The sequence below is a fragment of the Homo sapiens genome, chromosome 1 (genome assembly GCF_000001405.40).
Source record: "Homo sapiens chromosome 1, GRCh38.p14 Primary Assembly".
NCBI lineage: Eukaryota > Metazoa > Chordata > Mammalia > Primates > Hominidae > Homo > Homo sapiens.
Genome location: NC_000001.11, coordinates 195,528,311 through 195,551,239, shown reverse-complemented (window position 1 = coordinate 195,551,239; position 22,929 = coordinate 195,528,311). Strand labels below are relative to the sequence as shown.

Below are 22,929 nucleotides of genomic sequence, written 5' to 3'. Positions count from 1 at the left end.
CACTGGGAGTTATACCTAATGCTAGATGACGAGTTAGTTGGTGCAGAGCACCAGCATGGCACATGTATACATATGTAACTAACCTGCACAATGTGCACATGTACCCTAAAACTTAAAGTATAATAAAAAAAAAAGAAAAAGGAAAAGAAAAAAAAAGATGAATCAATTGAAAAGTAAAAAAATAAATAAATAAATAAATAAAATCTAAGACACAAGCACACACTTAAATCTAGCCCTATACAGGGTCAGGATCATCAATATCACTGTCTTTTACATGTGTGACTTATCCCACTGAGAAGTCTTTGGGGGTAGTAACAGGCATGAAGCTGTCATCTCCTGTAAAACAATGCCTTCTAACATATCTCCTAAGGATCTGACTGAGGCTCTTTTACCCTTAACTTGGTTTTAATAAGGAGGAGGAGTACATTCTAAAATAATGCGAAAGAACATAGTGTAGCAAATACATAACCACTAACAGAATAGTTTAATATCATTACCAACTATTATATACAGTGCATAATAGTATGTGTCATACTATTACACAACTGGCAGCAAAGCACATTTGCTTACCTGAGGGATGCATTGCCCTATGACATTACAACAGCTGCGATGTCACTAGCCAATAGGAGTTTTTCAGCTCCTTTATAATTGTTGGGGCCACTGGCATGTATTCAGTCTGCCATTCATCAATGTGTCCGTGTGCAGTGCATGCCTATATTTCTTTGTGCAATAGATACCTTTGTAAAGTCTTAAAGCTGTCTTCAAATACTTCAGGTGGCTATTAAAAATAAATGGAATATGTATGTTGCTTAGGGTCATTACTGGAACAGAATAGAAGTTTACTGAAAGGAATCTAGGTAACTTCATGGAGAACCAGGTGCAATACACTCCAATTAGGAGCAAAGTCCCAGTACAATAACAACAGTAACAACACTAACAAATCTGCAGAACTGGTCTAGTGAGGAAACCACGCCTCACTAAATTCTGAGTGCTGTGGTTTGATACACTCCAAGCTGGGGCCTGGAACCCATCCTACACTATTTTCTGCTACCGTGGAAGTACTAAGAGCTCCACTGCATGGATTATTTTCATCAAAAGCTCCAGGACAGGGGTAACCCATATGAATCATATCTCCTAGAATTGTAAAAAGTGAGCTTCTGACTCCAAAATTAGTCTTTGGTCTGATTGTGAGAGTCTAGACACATGACTTGAACTCTTTAGCTGTAAGGGCTGAAGAGGCACATGTGACATTTTCATATCCTATAACGAGACATCTAAAACTGAGATGATAAAGGTATAGACTGAGTTGGGTCCATATATTATTTCTGGAGTTCTTTGAATTAAAAAAAAAAATATATATATAGCATATATATATATGAATACATTATTCTATATATAAATACATTATTTATATTATATATAAACATATATAAACATTATTTATATTATATATAAACATTTATATTATATGTAAACATTTATATGTAAACATTTATATTATATGTAAACATATTTATATGTAAACATATTTATATTATATGTAAACATTTATATATAAATATATATATTTAGGTTCAGACTTTTTTTAGGTCTAAATAGGAAAGTTTACAGATGATATCTTTGTCTAGACATGACTTATTCAAGAAAGACATTGTCTTTCAAAATTAAGTATAATATTAGCTGTAGGTTTTTGCAGTTTTCATATCTCAAGTTAAAGAAGTTTCCTTTTATTCAAAATTGGCCAGTAATTTTTAAAATCATGAATGGATGTTGAATTTTGTAACTTTTTCTTTACTTACTGCTATAATTATATTTTTTCTTATTTACTCTGCAAACATGATAGATTGCATTAACTGATTTTCAAATGTTGAACTAGCTTTGTATCTCTACTATAACACCTCTTGATTCTGAAGTGTTACAGTTTTTATATGTTATTACAATTGTCTAGTATTTTGTTAATGATGTTTACATTTATATGAGTGTTATGGGTCCTTTTAAAATCTCTGCCTTGTGTATCCGGATATGCTGATTTCATGGAGATGAAAAGTGTTGCTTTCTTTTAAATTTTCTGGAAGACATTGTTAAGAACTGGCTTTAATTCTTCTTTAAATCCTTGGCATAATTCACAATTAAGTCCATTTAGGTCTGATATTTTCATTTTTAAAAAGATCTTAGCTACAAATTTAATACTCATTACATTATCTATTTATTATTGAGAGAGTTTTGGTAGTGTCTTTCAAGTAACTGATCCATTTCATATAAGCTGTTAAATTTTGTCCATAGAGTTTTGTTGTAATATTCCCTCTTTATCCTTATAATATCTATGAGGTCAGTTGTGATAATATATCTTTTCTTCTAATAAAGTAATGTGTGCCTTCTCTTTTATTTCTTGTTCAAACTACCTGAAAGTGTAATCAATTTTGTTTGTTCATTTTGGATAACATAAGCAGCTTCTAGTTTCACAGATTTTCTGTGCTTTTGTATATTCTCAATTTCATTAATTTATAATTGTATCTTTTTCTTCCTTCTGTTGTTTACTTTGGGTTTGGTCTCCTATTCGTTTTTTTTTTTTCCCTAGTTTCTGGAGGTGGAAGCTTATATTATAAACTTGAGAACTTCATTCTTTTGTAACATGAGCAAATAATGCTGTAAATTTCCCTCTAATCTTGCTTTAAATATGTTTCTTATAATTTGACATGTTTAATTTTCATTTTCATTTAGCTTAAAATATTTTCTATTTTCCCTTGAAACTTCTGCTTTAATCTGTGGATTACTTAGTACAACATTGATTACTTTTTAAAGTATTTTTAGATTTATCAAACATCCTTCTATTTATTTTACGTTTAGTTTTATTTTGATCAGAGAACACAGTGTGAGTAATTTCCATTCTTAAATTTAATAAGATTCATCTTGTGACCTAGAATGTGATCTATCTTGGAAGATGAAAGCATTGCTAAATCATGCAGATCAATTCTTTGTTGTGTAATTGTTCTGTGCATTAGAGGATGTCTAGCATCTGGGTCTTCTGTCCCCTAAATGCCAGTAGTTTATCACATTATTTTGCAAGCAAATTTATGTCCGAAATTTTTACGTGTCTTTGGGGGCACTGATGCCTCTTTTGGAAAATGACTGGTTAAACATAAATATTAAACTTGTTTAATAAACTCGATATTTGAATATTAGATATTTTAGATTTCCTTGTTCTCAATACTATTTCAAACATTGTAAAATATGATAATTTATTTAGTTGAGTTTTGCCTCTTTGAATGAATGAATTTTTGAAAAGAAATTTAGAAGATAATTATTTATCAGTAAATTGGTGTTTTAATTTAGCTTTCTTCTCTCTCTTTCTCTGTCTCTTTCTCTCTGTGTGCGTGTGTGTATACACACAAGTACATGTTAACTATTAACAGAATTGGAGATTTTGAATTTCCTTATATCTTACTCATGTATATTTGCATAATAAATAACAACTGCACAAACATTAGAGCAAAATCTCTCTCCTCCATATTCGTAACTTTTATTGTGGTGAAATTAATGTGAGTTCATTAAAAAATTCCTTTCATTTTTGTCTAAAGGAATGTGGCTTGAGCGAGAGTCTCTTGATTGGTAATGGTGGGCAAACTGTGAGCCATTTGTTAATCACTTAATAATGACAGCTTTCGGGTAGTAATTTAGACCAGCTGCACTGGACTGTCTGGACCCATCATTATTTCTGCTCTGTGAAATAAGCTGTCATTATGTTTCACACAAACATATTTCTGTCTTTTCATAACTAGAATAGTTCACCTGGGAGAACCAATGAAAGAGAAAGCTACCATATAAAAATTCTGCTTTACAGAAAGGATAGCTTAATAGAAATAACATTATTAACGAATTTAGAAGAAAAATATTTCTCCTATTTTTCATTTCAACAAATAGTGTTGCTGTGTGCTTTACTGATGCTGATGACAATGACTTTAAAAGTCACAAACAGTTCATTCCTCAGTAGAGATAAATACAACTTCAGAAAGCAGTATATCAATCTTGCACTGATAGAAGTAATAAAAATTGATTTATAATAGCTAATGGAGTTTTTTTCTTTTTACTTTCCCATGTTTTAAACTATATGAAAGAGTGTGTGGACAGGGCTCTTGGTGAATATTTAAATTATTTTTTTAAAAAAGTTAAACTGAACTACATAATTTCCCTCAAGTTCTCCAGAAACTCAAACAACATAAGTCAACATGTAATACATTATTGTACTTCAATAAATATCATCACATTTCACAAAAACAATTAGTATGAATAGTTTTACTACTACTAGAAAATAGCTTATTGAGTAATTGCTTTGTGGTAGATACTATGCTACATTATCAAATAAAATATATTTTAACCCTCACAATAAAACATAGATTGGTCCTATATCCAGCACATGGAAGACCTAGAAATTGAAACTGAATCTGACTGCTCCAATAGCTTCCATTCTCAAACAATTCCATACTACCTTTAAAGAGTAGAAATTAGTCTAGCTTAGGAGACTGAGAATATGAAGAGAGTGTCTCATGAAGTAATAATAGAATGTGTAAAGGCATGAAGAGAGATAAGGGCATGGCTTCTTACTGATCCATAAGGAGATTTATATATGGTTAAAGGTTAAAATTCGAAGAGCACAGTTAGTAAGAATAAGGCTACAAAGATATTCAGGGACAAAATCAGGGAGGGATTTCTCAACAATTTTAAGCAGTTTGGGCTTTAACCCTGAGAGCATCACAGAATAACTGAAAGATTTTAAGCAGATAAATAATCTCCTTATTATGCTCATGGAAATTTCCTTAGTTTATATGCTCAGTGTACTGTAGGGATTTAAGAATAAAAACAGAATGATTATTTATAAGGTTGATTCTGTATTAAAATTGCTAGATACCAAGTCCTGGCTTTGGGTGGCAGGGGAATATACTTAGATCATAAAATAACAAACATCTTTTTTAAAGTAAAATTCAAGAATAACACCATCGTTTCTGGATAGGAGATTGGTTAATACTTTTTAAAATTGCTTGGTAAGGTCTTAAGTAATCTTAGAAAAAAAATTTAGGGCACAGATAGTTTAAAGATGTTAGAAAAGTTTATCTCTATTACATATTTTTCTCTTATTCTGCAGAATTTTATGCTGTACACCGTTTCTGTGCACAACCTTATTTTAAAACTTCTTTGCCCACCAGATCTAAACTCCTTGACAATCTAGTTTTCTTTTAGTTATAGTCTCCTATTCTTTAAAGAATAAAACTGTCCAGACTTTCCTCTGTCCAGTTACCGCTTGGAGAAGTTCCTGAGCAAACCCTAGGTCATTCAAGACCACTGATTTTGTGTTTCTCACTCTATAGCATAAGGGAATTCAAGTCATGTTTTTGCATTTGCCTGCACGTTGGCTGTTTGACCCCATAGCCTCAGCTGTGAAATCTTTTTGTTGGTGGAATTCTTACAAAGTGTTTCTCAACTATTTTACAGTAACAATATCCTATCTCAGGATGCCAAATTGTAAGTCAAACTTGGTATCATTCTTTAAGTTTATTTGATGTGAGCTACGCAAAAATGTGTAGTTTCAAGCATCAATGAGGAATTCTCCATACTTCACATTTGAATATGGTGAACCTTATCTCATTTCAATGAATATAAAAATAAGGGAGCTCTGACTACCACTTGAATCTAAGTCTTCATCTTACTCAGAATAATTTTCCTTATGCTTCAATGTCTTTTCCACTGTTTTCTTCTGTTTCAGTCGCAATATATTTAAGATTTATCCATCTAGAAATCTAACTTAGATTTGCATTGGCCTCTCAGGACTACTCTTGATCTTCATTATTCCATTACCTAGGTTTTTGAAAATATAGCATAAATTCCATATGCCCATTTCATGAGCTCATTTTCATTATTCTGCTCACTAATACCAGGTTTCTGACCCCATAAATTTACTGAACACTATCACCTAGGTAATCATGGTATACACTTCTTATTTTTGTTAAACTCAGTTTATCTGATAATGACTTACCAGGCCCTGGGGCTTCCACAAAAATTTCCGCATAACACATTTTGCCATTTAATAATGTCCTGTTGTTTTTACTTTATTAAGAAATTGCTAATCAAATTACCTAATCAGATGATAAGTTAGGCATTTGCAATAATGGAGCCTCTTCTTGTTCTATTCTACTTTATTGATGATGAAAGGGACCCATTTAATTTCAGAGGGGTTTGACAAATCGATGAGATGTTAGTGGATTCTAGTCTAAAATATCTCACGAATTCTCTTTACACAGAATTTCACTTTCAGATGCCTTAATCAACTATTGCCTATGGCTGGTCAGCAGATGCCTCAAAAAATGTTAAAATCATCCTCCTAAAGTCATTCTCTTGCTTGGCTTCTATGACAAAATATTCTGCCTTATCTCCTACTATCTCTCATTTTTATTTTCAGTCTCACTCACTGCATATTCTTCCTTTGCTTGCTTCTTATGTATTGCTACACCTTATATTCCTTCCTAATACCATTCTCTCCCTCTATTCTAATGCACTTTTGAACTTGTCCTCTGTCATCATTTTAAGCTCTATCTTTGTGGGTGATTTTAAAGATTATTTCTTCAGCCCATAGAATCTTCAAAAGTTTTGTCCTCTATATCATACTGCTTACTGGACAACCCCACTAAAAAGTTTCATAGGTATTTCTCTGCTATTCCTCTATTTCTTTTCCTAATTAAAGACATTTTCCTCTATTGAGTCAGCAGAAGATAAACTTGGGAGCTCTCTTTTAATCATTACTCTGTTTTTATATCTACTCTCAAGAGTTCCACATTTTGTGCTTTTCTTTCTTACCTTTGATTCACTTGTTCATTTTCAGCTCCACAGTTAACGCTTTCGTTCCAACTCCCATTTTTCTCTTTTCTCATCTAACATCACATTCTCCAAAATGCCTACTGACTTGCATTTGTTATACTATCTCTCCATGACTGCCAGAATAATCTTTCTAAGAAGCAAGATGGAGAATATCACTCTATTGCTTCAACCTCTTCAATAGATACAGCTTCTTAAGGATGAACTCTCAACTTCTTAATGTGTTATGCCCAGTCCTCCATGATCTGGATACTCCAAGCACCCAGGGCTTTTCTTGCTTTGCCTCTAACAACTCTAATTCAATCTTTTTGAAATATTTATAGTTCTTCAAGGCACAAATATCTCATAACTTACATGTCTTTTTGGAGTTATTCTTAATTTCCAAAAATGTCTTTATTTACTGGCCAGCAACTACTCATCCGTCAATATTCAGCTCTTCTGTTACCTCTCCTGAATGCTTTAAGTAAAATGATTACTTTCTCCTTTTGACTTCGCTATAACTTAAAATTCTCCTATAACATCTTACTAAAGGTAGGTGCTTTCAAATTAATTTCACCTTCCTTAGTAAAGTGAGTGCAGGCAGTAAGTCAGCAAATCCCCAATGACGATTATCTCTGATGAAATTGGAGTATAGGAAGATGGACAAGACAATCCCCTGCCCTGCAGGAATCACAATCTTCATGTCTTTATCTCCAGAATCAGAGTTTACCACAATTTTAGCAAACTGTGGAAGCACATTTTAGTACTGATTCAGTAATATTATGATTAAATTAATAAATGATTAGATAACTTATTGGTAAGTTATTACATTATTTAATAAAATAATATGCTCATATATATTTTTTTTTCAAGGAGCAAGTCCTTGTAATACAATTACCTGATTTGCCATACTACTACTCATCTTTTAGCCATGCCATAATTATTTTCTAAAATGTCATATTTTCAAACTAAAAATGCTTAGTTTCTAGTCAGTCTCTTACTTTAAATTTTTGACCCAATGAGTCTATATACATATATATATATATATATATATATATATATATATACACACACACACACACACACACACACACACACACACACACACACACACCTTAATCCTGTCCTGTTTAAGGTTAAACGAATTACTTTCGTGAAACTTTCTACACTATTTCATAAGACTTTCTACATTACTTCATAAGACTTAGAATCATAATGTTTGTGCTGTTATTAGCTGTTATTTCCTAGGTAGCCATTAACCTTCTAGGTTTATGAGTAGTGATCTCAATTTAGCAAGCTTATTGTGTGGACTCAGGCAGATAACTATATTTAATACTAGTACATTTGGGGTGCATGATGAATTTTTGTTGATTCAGGCCCCAAATCTCACTAATAAATTGCTTGTTTGACCCATATGGCCTATAGTATTTTTCAGTTATTTTCACTTATGTGGGTATTTAATCCTATTAATAGCATATTCACTCTTAGGATGAACGAATATATCTTTTATTTTGTTTTAACTTTGCCTTTATCTATTACAATATTTCAAGTTGCTAGAAATAATTATTTATAGAATAAATACATTTCTTTTTATGCTTTCCATTTTATAAGTCCCTTCACCTTAGAAAATATAAATACTCCCTTTTTGCATGCAAACAGGCAAAACTTACACATGCAAGATTCTTAAATAAAGGATCCTTCCACTGGATTGCAAAAATATATTATGAGCATTTAATACAAAATTAACATTTATTTTTGTTACGTAATTTTGTTTTCTAAAAACATAACTAAATTGTGCTATGATGTAAAGTAGTGTACTTTAAAAATCATAAAACATCGGTTAAGTAACAAATCCCTGGACATGCAGTAGAAAAGAAACTAGAAATAGAGGTGAATTGGACTACATAACTCACAATATTTCTCTCAAAGGGAATTGATGCCATGATTTTATCAGGACTCAAAGATTGTTTTATGAACCAATACAGTTGTGATCTAAACTTGTATTCTCTTGCTAAAGTGTATAACAGTTATAGCTTAGTTTAAATTCCTCAAAGGCAACTTTGTAGAATGAAAGAACATTCACTTTGCAAAAGAATGCCCTTTTCCCCTTTAATTTTTAAACTTTTGGAGAAAATTTAAATTTAAATTATTTTGTTATAATTATTTAAATATGGAATCTCATTCTGTCACCCAGGCTGTAGTGCAGTGGGACAGTCATGGCTCACTGAAGCCTTGAACTCCTGGGCTCATGCCGTCTGGCCTCAGCTTCCAGAGTGTCTGGGTCTACAGTCATGCACCACCACACCCAGCTAATTTTTATTTATTTATTTTGTAGAGACAGGGTCCCATTATATTGCCCTGGCTGATCTTCAACACTTGGCCTCAAGTGATCCTCCCACTGTCCCCAAGAGTGCTGGTGTTTCAGGCATGAGCCACCACACCTGCCTCCCCTTTATTTATTTTTTGTACATAATAATAGTGCAGTTTCAAGGAGCAAGTCCTTGTAATACTATTAACCTGATTTGCCATAATACTACTCATCTTTTAGCCACGCCATAATTATTTTCTAAAATGTCATATTTTCAAACTAAAAATGCTTATTCTCTAGTCAGTCTCTTACTTTAAATTTTTGACCCAATGAGTCTTGTTTAAAAAGAGAAACTAAAGCATATTTCACACATATAATTAGTTTGAACTATGATATTATAGCAATGTTTCCAGCTTAGAAAAAATATCAGAATGTGCAACAATATTATTAATCTCAAATAATATTAAAACGGTATTTCTCCTTAGGATGATGTAATTTTTTTTTGGCTCAAAATAAGCAGATTGTTTAATCTGTGCCGTTTTGTTTCACTTCTCTGGGAAGCTGAGTAGTCGCTTCACACAGGTGCTTTGAAAGAAGTCCGCCACCAGAGACCCTGAGTTCAAATGCAGCACTTTAATAGCTCCTTGAAAGTCTAATGAACCTGTAGAATATTCACAAAAGTTCAAAGGAAGTCCCATGAATCCACTTCACATTAATTAAGAAACACAGTTTTTAAAATAAGACATTTTTAGCATGTGGAACTAGGTGAAGAGCGGCCTTCTCTTCCTCCAACTCCATGCTCCATGATGATGCAAAGCCACAAAAATTATTTTTAAATGTTTTAACTGCATTTTCATAAGTCTTAAATGTAAAGTGTTCTTTTTTTGTTTCTCATTGCTAAAGTAATGCTGCTCTTGCTACTACTGCTGCTAGTGTTGCTGCTGCTACTACTTCCACTACTATTGCTAGTAGTAATTTGTTTGAACCCATTGGACATAACATCAAAGTCATCATTTTAAAGATAGGTAAGCTGAGACAGAATGATTAAGTCTGACAAGTAAAAAAAAGATTACATAAAATTATTATACAGTATCTCTTTAAATCAGGAGATAATCAGAAAACATGATAGAGAAATTTGCCTTTTCAGTTTTTCATTCAAGTTGCTTATTATTATTATAAATACCTATGAAAAATCAACTTGTCTCCTGGCTTGAGAATGAATTCTCTTCTCTGATAGGTGGTTTGTCATACTGCTGTCCTAAAAATGCCACCAGTGTACCTATGCTATATAAAATCTTTGTCCCACTTAAGTCAAGGTGAGCTTTTTTTTAAGAAAAATGAAGAAATATGATAAATTTTCTTAGTAAAAAGAAAATCATATTATATACTTTTGTCACAATAGTAATTATGTACCTTAATACTTATCAATACTGCACATATGTAAACCAATTGAATGTATCTTCTTAGGATTTAGAAACCACTAAACTGTTACACATTTTTGTTTTGATGACGTAGATATTTATTCTTTGATTAAAAACATTGTAACAAAAATCAACACCAACAGACCTACAGATTATAGGAATTTTTTATATTAAAAATTATAATGCAGTCTTAGCAGTAATATTTATTTTATAGCTATTGATGAGTATATAAAAATTTGAAATATATTGCTTCAAAAGTATTTAGTTTTAGAAGCACTTTCAGAAATGTTGCAGTGATGTGATGAAGGTTGTTAATTTGAAGTAACATGAAATTGAATTTAACTTACAGGTGTAAATGCAAAAATTTGCCTAAATACCATACCAATTTAAAATGGGGATAGAATACAAACTGGATCATAATATTACTTTAAATATTATATGAAAGAATTTACATAAAACAAATACTTTTACTTTAGACAACAATAACTTGGTTACTTTTAATTTATAACTATTAATACCGTTTTATCATATGGTGATTTTTAAAAGTATAATATGTATTTAAATGAAACAGCCAAATGAAATAAAAATTTATCTTTAACATTTTCAAGGAAGACTAAAAGAATAATTTGAAATTTCCAGAAATATTATTTCTTTGCAGATTTTCTCACAAACAGTAGTATAGTTGTGCTAGATAAAAGAATAACTTGGAATATCCAGAAATATTATTTCTTTGCAGATTTTCTCACAAACAGTAGTATAGTTGTGCTAGGTTCATCAACACTTTCAACAGATATTTTACAACTGCTGTTTTCCCAGGCAGTGGGATAGAGATCTGATAAATATTGTGAATAGAAAAAAAAATTAACTCTCTGCCTCATGGTAACTATAGTCTATTGTCTGGTCCAATTTTATAATGAAACTCAAGTCCAATTTGTAAGTGATGCTGATATTCAGCACTTAAATACGACTACCACCTCACCACCATTGCCACCATAATAATAAAGCACTAAACCAAAACAATTAAAAGTCATGACTATTTTAAATAAATATCTATAAATTATATTTAGAAATAGAACAAATGATCCAGAATTTAACAATTATTTTATTCAGAGTAGAGCAATTTGAGTGTATTATCATCCAGTCAAGGAAGCCCTGGTCACCATCATTATAGTCCTTGTTGCTAGTTATTCTATCTTTTGTTTTGTTTTGTTTTTGAGACGGAGTCTCGCTCTATCGCCTAGGCTGAAGTGCAGTGGCGCGATCTCGGCTCACTGCAAGCTCCGCCTCCTGGGTTCACGCTATTCTCCTGCCTCAGCCTCCCAAGGAGCTGGGACTACAGGCGCCCGCCACCACGCCCGGCTAATTTTTTGTATTTTTAGTAAAGCCGGGCTTTCACCATGTTAGCCAGGATGGTCTCTATCTCGTGACCTTGTGATCTGCCCGCCTCGGCCTCCCAAAGTGCTGGGATTACAGGTGTGAGCCACCACGCCCGGCCTAGTTATTCTGTTTGTTAGATTCCACATATAAGTAAGATCATTCAGAATTTATGTTTCTGTGTCTGGTTTAGTTTACTTAGTATAATGTCCTTCAGGTTTACCTATGTTGTTGCAAATGGCAGGGCCTCCTTCTTTTCTAAGGCTGATATTTCATTTTGTATAACACACACACATACACATGATTTTATTTATCTGTTTATTGTCAATGGACACTTGTTTCCATATCTTGGCTATGGGGGATAATGCTTGCAATAAACATGGGAATGCAGATATCTCTTTAAGATACTGATTTCAGTTCCCTTGGGTATATCACTGGCAGAGGAATTGCTCTTTCATATGGCAGTTGTGTTTTGATTTTTTAAAGAAAGCTCCATCCTGTTTTCCATAATGGCCATACCAATTTACATTCCATCATCAGTGTACAAAACGTACAGTGTATGTTTTTCATATGCCTGTTGGCCATTTTATGTCTTATTTGAAAAAATATCTATTCAGGCCTTTTACCCATTTTTTAATTGGATGATTTGGGTTTTGGCTATCAGTTGAGGGTTTTTACTGGAAATCACACCATGCCAAATGAATTTCATATAATATCAGAGTTAATTCCATGCCATATTATCTTTGATGAAACACAGACTCAGAGAAGTTAACTTTTTTTAAAGTTCTAGAATTAGTGTGAGCTGAAGAAGGATTCTGAATTCACATCTTTCTGATTCTCAAGCCTGTACTGTGTGGCACACCTCCAACTCTGAACTGGGTCTATCTGGTCATGCAAATTTTTTTCAAGTGTGGTTCTCTGCTTGCTTCCTTCATGAAGCAAAATAACATAAGCAAGGAAGCATATTGTGCCACGTTCCCAAATAATCACACTATTTCTCTTGTAGATTCCTTCCTTAAAAACATTCCAAAGCTGCATTGGTACACTTCCTGAGAAAGAGAGGGGTCCGGATGGTTTCACTGTGTAACTATGATACATGAGGTGATATATTCATCACACATCAAACCTGTTTATATTTTCTAATTTCATTCAGGCTACAATCTCCTCTTCTTAAACTTGCCATAAATTTGCCTCAATTCACTAAAATTGCCTTGAGTATGTTAATGTTTTCCTTGACTAAGAATTCCTTGAGAGAGAAAGGGGAAGCTGCTTCTGAGAATCTTTAGCAGACATCATTGAATTTATTATGGAAACTGAGATCACTTCTCTTGGAATTTCAAGTCTTTCTCAGATGAAAGTTATTTAATTTTGGCATAAACATTGCTGATAAAAAAGATTAGTTTATATGAGTATAAATCTTATATAAAAAGTACTCAAATGTACACAATAAATTTTAAAACATTTTCTTTGGAATATTAATAAACACGTGTTTAAAATGCAATTGACTGTGGACAGAGTAGGTTTATCATTGAGAGTGTTTACAAAATAAATTTAAAAAAGATAATTAGTTGCAAATGTCTTCTTACTTCTCTCATCTTGCCTTAAATGGTAACATTTTAGTCATGATGAGTTCTTTGCATTATTGCAGAAAAAATTTTAAAAATACACTTTTGTGTTTATGCGTGTCCTTATTTTGTATTTTCTACACAGTTGTAGAAACTTTATTGTTAAAAATCATTAGATGCTGCATGACCTTTGCATAATTTTTAATTCTTAAAATAAAAATTCACTAATTTGTATTAAGAATTAGTGCAATAATTACAAATGGATATTTGCTATTTCTGGTTGTTCAATGTCCTTTGAATATCCCCTCCAATATCTTCATAAATTCTCACTCTAGGAATCACGACTTTTGGAAGTAAAAGTAAAAACGCAAAACAAACAAAAAACTCACTACCTTTCCCAGTATTTTGTATTTTGCTGTATCTGTATTTTGCTGTATCTATTGCTGCTGAGTAGCAGGCATAATCTATGACCCAATCCCATAATGAAGCAATAAAAATGAATAGTCTTCAGCCATGTGCAACATACTAGATGCAACTTAAAAACAATGTTGAGTGGGAGAAAAAAAAGCCAGAAGAAAACAGTGAATCGTGAATGTTTCCATTTAGATAAAGTTCAAAACCAATCAAAAATAAACTATGGAGTTCGGAGTTAAGGCAGTAGTCAAATTGGGGTAAGAGAAATATAGTAGGGAGACGGTAGAATGAGGCTTTAGGGATGATGGAGATATTATATTCCTTGATTAGGTGATGTTTAGGTGGTTATATTCACTTTGTAAGATGTCTTCAAGCTGTAAAAATATAAGTTATATACTTTTTTCTATGCATACTATACATTAACAATAATATTATTGAAACATTAATAAAATACTTCTGAATCTTCGGGAAAACAAAAAGGTAGACATTTTTTCAAACTTAGTAAAGCTATGTTCAGCTAGTCAGATATGCCATTGGTAAGGTAAGTTGATGCTGGGGACTTTGACAATGCAGTAGTGAAGGCAACTGGTTCTTTGGGGACAGCTCTGGTGGAGGGTTGGACATGCATTCACTACTGTGACAATGAAGTTTTGTTTTTATTATTCCTGGCTGTGTAGTACGCATGCTTGGTTTTGAGGTCTTCTCAGAGATTTTGTGACACACCTAATATCCTTTATTAAATTTCTTTCTGTTCAAGCTTGTTGATGTTTAACCTGATGTTTGCAACTAGGCAAACTGATCATTTAAAAAAAATTCTTATTTAAAAGATTACATAAGATTTGTATTTATATATTAACCTTATATCGAACAACTTTGATGAACTCATTTAATTCTTTTATTATAAAATAGTACAAGAAACTACTTAGAAAATTACTCTGATAATCTTGTGAAAGTTCTAGTTTCAAAAATGTTTAAATTTGCACATTCCTGATCTGCCTTTTCTTGCAATTCAATCACTAAAATAACTGGGATTTTTTGTTAACAGTTGGAAGAAAATTGAGATGCATCTGATACCTAGAATTCTTATAAAGAAGGAACTATTTTGAGTAGACAATGTCTAGTGCCAATGGAAGATCTGGAAGAGAGTTGCTAAGAAAAAGGCTTTTCTTTTCCTGCAGAGGCTGAGCAAAGGCTGCAGATTTATTGTTAGGCATGAAGAGCAAGGATTCAGAACAGAATGATAGCAAATAACTAACCTAATTATAAATATATTTGCCAATCCAAAGTTTTAAAATTGGAAAAAAATCACATTAATTGTGAGTTTGGAACAGAGAACACTAAAGGTGTAGTGAAAAAGGGGTGGGGGAGAGATTTAACTCTTAATTTAATCTGCCATAATGAATATAAACTTAACTATCAACCTAATTATAACTTCATTTTAAATGAATTATTGCTAGAATTACAGGATTAACTTTGATTCTGGGGTTTACTTATGCTCATTTGATTTATTTATATATTGTTAAACGATAAAATTATTATATTGTATAATCGAAGAATCATGTTCAGGTCAATATTAAAAGTTATTTGTCAGGTGTGATCCTATTTTAGTTTTCTACCTTCTGGGATGTTTGTTTATTTAAAATTCTTGTGGGTGTTTTTAAAGATTTATAGATGTGTCTATAAATCGGTTTCAGGATGTAGTATTATGCTTCATTAAGTAGTATTATATTTCATGATGTAATATTTTATAACTAGAATTTGTAGAATATAATTTTAGGAATTCACTCAAATCATAATATTGGAAATTAGAATGGATGAATCCAAATGACTGTTTTTGAATAATGGCACAAACTGCTACGTATATTACATAAAATTGCTATTCTACTCATAAATTTTATGCTTCTTATTAACATAAGTCCTATCTCTAAAACAATTCTGATTCAACCCTGTAGAGTAAGAACTTAACACACTGAAATTAACACACAGTTGGAAAAACAGATCAGAGAATGGGAGTTTGAGTTGTCTCTGATGAAGCAAAGATTTCAATGAGTTTTGTGAGGGGAAAAAAATCAAAAGGGTGGGACACAAAATAGGCAGAGAATTGCCAGTGTATTTTTGGCAAGGTATCTGATTGTAATGATAGCAAATATTAATTTCCTTAAGTCAATCAGATACTAAATGTCTTATGCTGTGCAGGATATTTCTATATAATAAAATATTTTCTTACGCAAATGTTTTTATTACCTCCATTGAGAAAACTGCTAAAGTGCTTGGAGATAAGAATATTCGTTGTGTGTAACTCTGCTAGCATTTGTCTGCTGAGATAAGCACATTAGTAAATTATTTATCTATTTACATTTGTTCTCAGTGAAAGTTTTTGTTTTCTAGTAAATAATGCCCTCAAAATGTCTATTGGATATTAAAATTATGTCTTTTGAGACTGGTAAAGTGATTGTTTACAATTAAAGAATAAATTTTCCCTCATATTTAAGGGCTTTTTAACAACATTGTTTTGGTATTCTGATAGTTGTACAGGTTTCTACTCAGTTTGATACTAGCTATCTTGTTATTATTATAATATTATTTAAATCAAATGAGTAGTTTAATTAACTGATATACTTCCTAGAAACAATTTATTTCCCTTCAACATAATCTCTTTTCTCAGCAGGTTATGGATTCAAATGTTTCTTCAGAATAGAAAACGTAAAATTCAGAAATACTCAACTACATAAGAATATTGTGTTATTATTTTTAACCAATTTCTTACCTCAATTTAGACATAAAATCTCCTGTCTGTCCTCTCTCTAATTAACTGAGACATTAGGAAAGTATTTTTTTTAAAAAAACGCACATATATAAAATGAATACATATATATATGTACCCTCCTATATACATATATATGTATTTATGTTATTTTAAAATAATATAAGAAATAAAAGTTAATTTATTAAACTTTCTGGCAATTAAATATATATTATATATTTACACATATAAATGTATTATATATGTATAAATGTATATATTATATATTTATATATATACACACATAGATAGAGAGAAGGGTAACATTAGCCTTGCTCAGCGGAAAGTGAGAATAGAGTTTGTTAGATGACCGTGAAGTACAAACTGGAATGATAGAAAAAAAATTTCAAGGCTCTCTCCAACATGTTAAGCAAATTCAGCGGTACTGAAAAAAGGAGAAAGGTAATCATGGCAGAAATTATTTCTAGAAACAGATTGTACGAATGAATGGATCTTACTTTGTACAGAATCTTATTACCAAATATGGAGCGAGATCACACAAAAGGGTAAAGTGGTAACCCAAAGAAGCAATAAAGTTAGACCCTCCCTAAAACTCACCATAGGCAGGAAAAACAGAAAAAGAAGGTGGAGAAGTTGTAATTGCTGTTAGCTAATATATAGGGATTTAAGAGAGCAGAGCTCAAAAGAGAAAATGAATCAGAAATAAGTAAAACATGTACCAAGACAGTTATAGCAAAGGAATAGATATTTCCTGAGGATTCTAGTTGAAGCTAATCTAGCCCTAATACCTAAATCAAGTTTCTTGCAATACTATGTCCATGTTACCATTATTTTTGACATTGTTATGTAACTAGCAGAAAGTGAAGTTAAAGAGTAGATATAATTGAGGATTTTAATTTTAAAAATATTGTACAAGTTATCATTGATATATCATTAGTTGTTAGACACTGAAAATAAAAATTTATTAAACTTTCTGGCTACTAAATATAGAACATAAGTAGCATTTCTCTGTTTAAAGAACAATTTCGAACACATATTAGAAGACAAGATTCCATTTAATATGATTAGAAAAATTATAAAATGCCCATGAATAAACAAGTAGAGGAACCAAATCAAAAACAGATAACTCGTCTGAGGATTTTTTAAATGAATAAATAAAAAGTCACTAAGTGTTCAGGCATATAAACAATATAATCAAAATATGAATTATCCCTAAACAAATAAAATCATATAAAACAAATAGAAATGGCAGGTTAATATTTTGAAATATATGTAATACTGCTAAAATTCATTCAGATAATTAAACATTACTTCTTTATTTTCTGGAGAAGAAAAAACACAAAAAAGGAACCAGTAGAAAAAGTGTAGAAATATCCCCAAATAAATATACAGCAACAGTTTTTTTTTTTCAAATTATGAGTGTCACATCTATTTATGGTAATGATGTACTTCTATTTTCCTAACAGGTTGATCCAAAAAAATTAAGCTTACCGAGGGTGCAACTTTACTCATATATGCCTTTTTTTTTTTTTTTGCCAGTTCTTTAAAAGCCACGTATAAAAAGAATCGCCTCACCTATAAAGCCACCTATAAAGAGAATTGCATACTACCTCAGGCTAATAATTACACTGCAAAACAATATCTATCCCAGTCTGGGGTGTTTGAGGAGTTCACATTGAACTGGTTCCCTACTTTTTTTACATTTAATTTTTATGAATACATAATAGTTGTAGACAATTATGAAATACATCTGAAATTTTGATAGAAGCATACCATGAGTAATGATTAAATTAGGGTAATGGGATATCTATCACCTCAAACATTTATCATTTCTTTGTTTTGGAAACATTTAATTCCATTCTTCTAGTTACTTTGAAATAAACGATAAATTATTGTTAGCTGTAGTTGCCATATTGTGGTACCGAACACTGAATCTTACTCCTATTTAACTGTACTTTTGTACCCATTTACCTCTTTGTATCTCTCCCTCCCCAGTACCCTTCCCATCCTCTGGTAACTATTATTCTACTATCTCCATGAGATCAAAATTGTTTAGGTCCCACATATGAGTGAGGGCAGGCGATATTTGTCTTTCTGTGCCTGGCTAATTTCACTTAATATAATGTCTCCAAGTTCTATCATATTGTTACAAATGATAGGATTCCATTCTTTTATATGGCTGTATTAGTCAGTTCTCATGCTGCTATGAAGAAATGCCCCAAACTGGGTAATTTATAAAGAAAGAGGTTTAACTGATTCACAGTTCCGCGTGGGTGGAGAGCCCTTAGAAAACTTGATTCAATTCAATGCCTGAATAATATTCCATTGTAGATTTATACTACTCTTTTAACCCATGTATATGCTGATGGACACTTGGGGTGATTCCATATCTTGGCTATTGTTGATAGTGCTGCAAGAAACATGACAGTGCAGATACCTCTTTGACACAATGATTCCTTTACTTGGATATATACCCAGTAGTAAAATTTCTGGATCATATCATAGCTCTATTTTTAGTTTTTTGTGGAACCTCCATACTGATCACCATAGTGTCTTCACTCAGTTACATTCCCACCAGCAGTGTGCGGGAGGTTTCCTTTCTCCACATTCTCCACAGCATCAGTTATTGCCTTTTTTCTTTGCTTTTTTGATTAAAGCCACAGATTAATGATGCTGAGCATTTTATCCTATATCTGTTGGCCATTTGTATATCTTCTTTTGAGAAATGTCTATTCAGAACTTTTGCCCATCTTTTAAATTGAATTATTTGGTTTTTTTTTTTTTTGCTATTGAGTTGTTAGAGATCCTTAGATATTTTGTTTATTAACCCCTTGCTAGATAGGTAGTTTGCAAATATTTTCCTGTTATGTACGTGGGCTCTTAACTTTGTTGACTTTTTCCTTTGCTCTGCAGAAGTTTTTTAGCTTGATGTTACCCTTTTGTCAATTTTTGCTGTGATTATCTGTGCTTTCGAGGTCTTATTCAAGAAATCTTTGCCCAGCCCAATGTCCTGGAGTGTTTCCTCAACGTTTTTTTCCAGTAGTTTCATATTTTCAGGTCTTCCATTGAAGTGTTTAAGCCATTTTGTTTTGATTTTTGTATAAGGTAAGAGGTAGGGACTTACTTTCATTCTTCTGCATATGAATATCCAGTTTCCTAGCAACATTTATTGAAGAGATTTTCCTTTCTCTAATGTATGTTCTTGGTTACTTTGTTAAAAATGAGTTGACTGGAAATTCATTGATTTATTTCTGGATTCTTGAATCTTTTTCATTGGTCTATGTATCTGTTTTTATGCCACTACCATGCTATTTTGGTTACTGTTGCTTTGTAACTTGAAGTCAGGTATTGTAAGGCCTCCAGCTTTGCTCTTTTGTGCTCAGGATTGCTTTGGCTGTTATAGGTCGTTTGTGGTTTGATACAAATTTTAGGATTGTTTTTCTATGTCTGTGAAGAATGTCTTTGGTATTTTGGCAGCAATTGCATTAAATCTCTAGACTGATTTGGGTAATGTGAACATTTTAACAACAGTGATTCTTCCAGTCCATGAACATGGAATATCTTTCCATTTTTTGTGTCGTTTTCAATTTCTTGCATAAATGTTATATAGTTATCATTGTAGAGATATTTTACTTTTTGTTAAAGTTTATCCCTAGATATTTAGTTTTATTTTTATGTATTGTAAATGGGGTTACTTTCTTGATTTCTTTTTCAGATTGTTCACTGTTGGCATTTAGAAATGCTACTGGTTTTTGCATGTTGATTTTGTATCCTGAAACTTTACTGAATTTGTTAGTTCTAAATTTTTTAAGTCTTTACAATTTTCTAAATATAAGATCATATCACATACAAACAAGGATAATTTGACTTCCTAATTTTCAACCTGAATGTGCTTTCTTTATGTTTTCTAATTGCTCTGTCTAGGACTTCCAGTACCATGTTGTATAACATTGGCTAAAGTACACAACTGCACATTTCTAATCTGCCTTTTCCTCCCATTCAATCACTAAATTGAATTGTCTTGTCCTAGATCTTGAGAAAAGGCTTTCAGTTTTTTTTTTCCTGTTCAGTATAATATTATCTGTGGGGTTGTTGTAATGACCTTTAATGTGCTGAGGTATGTTTCTTTAACCCAGTTTGTTGAGTTTTTATCAGGAAGAGATGTTGAATTTTAAGAAACGCTTTTTCAGCATTTGTTAAAATGACCCTATCATTCCTGTCCTTCATTCTGTTCATGGGATGTATTATGTTTATTGATTTCTATATGTTGATTTGATGTTGATTTCTGTATGTTCTATATACCTTACACTCTTGGCATGAATCCCACTTGATCATAAGACACTATCTTTTTAATGTAGGGTTGAATTCAGTTTGCAAGTATTTAGTTGAGGATTTTTGCATTTATGTTTGTCAGAGATATTGGCCTGTTGGTGGTGGTGGTTTTGTTGGTGTGTCTTTCTCTAGTTTCAGTATTAGAGTAATACTGACCTTTGTAGAATTAGTTTGAAAGTAGTTTCTCCTCATTTTTTTTTAGAGTAGTTTGAGTAGAATTGGTATTAGTTCTTCTGTAAATGTTTGGTAGAATTCAGAATGAAGGCCTGAGATCCTGAGCTTTCCTTCGATGGGAGACTATTTTATTACTGCTTCTATCTCTATACTTGTTATTGGTGTATTCAGGTTTTGTATTTCTTCATGGTTCAATATTAGTAGGCTGTATGTGTCTAGGAATTAACTTGTTCCTTCAAAGCTTTCAAATTGGTTGGCATACAGTTGCTCATAATAGTCGCTTTGATTTTTTAAATTTCTGCAGTACCAGCTGTAATGTCTAATATTTCATCTCTAATTTCATTTATTTGAGGTTTTTTACTTCATTCATCTGGCTAAAATTTGTCAATTTGGTTTTTTTCAAAAACCTAATTTTTCATTGTGTTGACTTTAATATTTTTGTTTCAATTTCATTTATTTCTTCTCTAATTTTTGTCTTCTGCTAATGTGGGGTTTGGTTAGCTCTTGCTTTTCTATTTCTTTAGTATGCATCATTAGGTTATTTGAAGTTTTTATACTTTATTGATTTAGTCATATATTGCTCTACACTTCCCTGTTAGTACTGTTTTTGCTGTATTACATAGGTTTTGGTATGTTGTGTTTTTATTTGTATTTGTTTCAGGAAGCTTCTTAATTTCATCATTGACCCAGTGGTAGTGCAAGAGTATATTTTTAAATTATATGTATTTGTATATTTTCCTAACGTTTTTTGGTATTCATTTCTAGTTTTATTCCATGTGGTCAGAAAAGATACTTGATATAATTTTAATTTTTTAAAAAATTTTTGAGACTCATTTTGTGTTCTAACATATGGTGTCTCCTTGAGAATGTTCCATGAGCTAAAGAAAACAATGTGTGTTCCATAGCTGTTGAATGAAATGTTCTATCAATGTCTATTAAGTCCATTCAGTCTATATGTAGATTAAGCCATATGTTTCTTTTTATATTTTGGGACTAGATGATCTGTCTAATGCCAAATGTGAGGAGTTGAAATTCCCAAGTGTTACTGTACTGGTCTCTCTCTCTTTCTCCTCCATTACCTCTAATAATATTTGCTTTTTGCTTTATATATGTTAGTGCTGCACTATTGTATATATAAATAGACTACTGTTATATCTTCTTGCTGAATTGACTCATTTATCATTACATAATGAACTTCTTTGTATTTTTAAATAGTTTTTAAATGTAGTTTATCTGATGTAAGTATAATAACAATCCCTGTTTTTTTGGTTTTTTTGTTTGTTTGTTTGTTTTTTGTTTTTTGTTTTTTTTGAGACAGAGTTTCACTATTGTTGCCCAGGCTGGAGTACAATGGCGCGATCTTGGCTCACTGCAACCTTCGCCTCCTGGGTTCAAGAGATTCTCCTGCCTCAGCCTCCCAAGTAGCTGGGATTACAGGTGCCTGGCACCACGCCCAGTTAACTTTTTGTACTTTTAGTAGAGACAGGGTTTCACCATGTTGGCCAGGCTGGTCTCGAACTCCTGACTTCAAGTGATCCACCCACCTTGGCCTCCCAAAGTGCTGGGATTACAGGCGTGAGCCACTGCACCCAGCCAATCCCTGGTCTTTTTTGAGGGCTTCCATTTGCGTAGAGTATCCCTTTTCTTTCCTTCATTTTAAGTCAGTGTGTATCTTTTTAGGTGAAGTAAGTTTCTTGTAAGGCATCATATAGTTGGGTCTTTTTCATATTTTAT

General features: G+C 32.0%; 2 annotated features.

The window, feature by feature from the left end:
• Nucleotides 9,014-9,214: a silencer, noted in NCBI's record as "peak631 fragment used in MPRA reporter construct". NCBI's record gives its function as "represses an SCP1 promoter by STARR-seq MPRAs in K562 erythroleukemia cells {active_cell/tissue: K562}" and the evidence as "EXISTENCE:reporter gene assay evidence [ECO:0000049][PMID:32103011]".
• Nucleotides 19,314-19,514: a silencer, noted in NCBI's record as "peak630 fragment used in MPRA reporter construct". NCBI's record gives its function as "represses an SCP1 promoter by STARR-seq MPRAs in K562 erythroleukemia cells {active_cell/tissue: K562}" and the evidence as "EXISTENCE:reporter gene assay evidence [ECO:0000049][PMID:32103011]".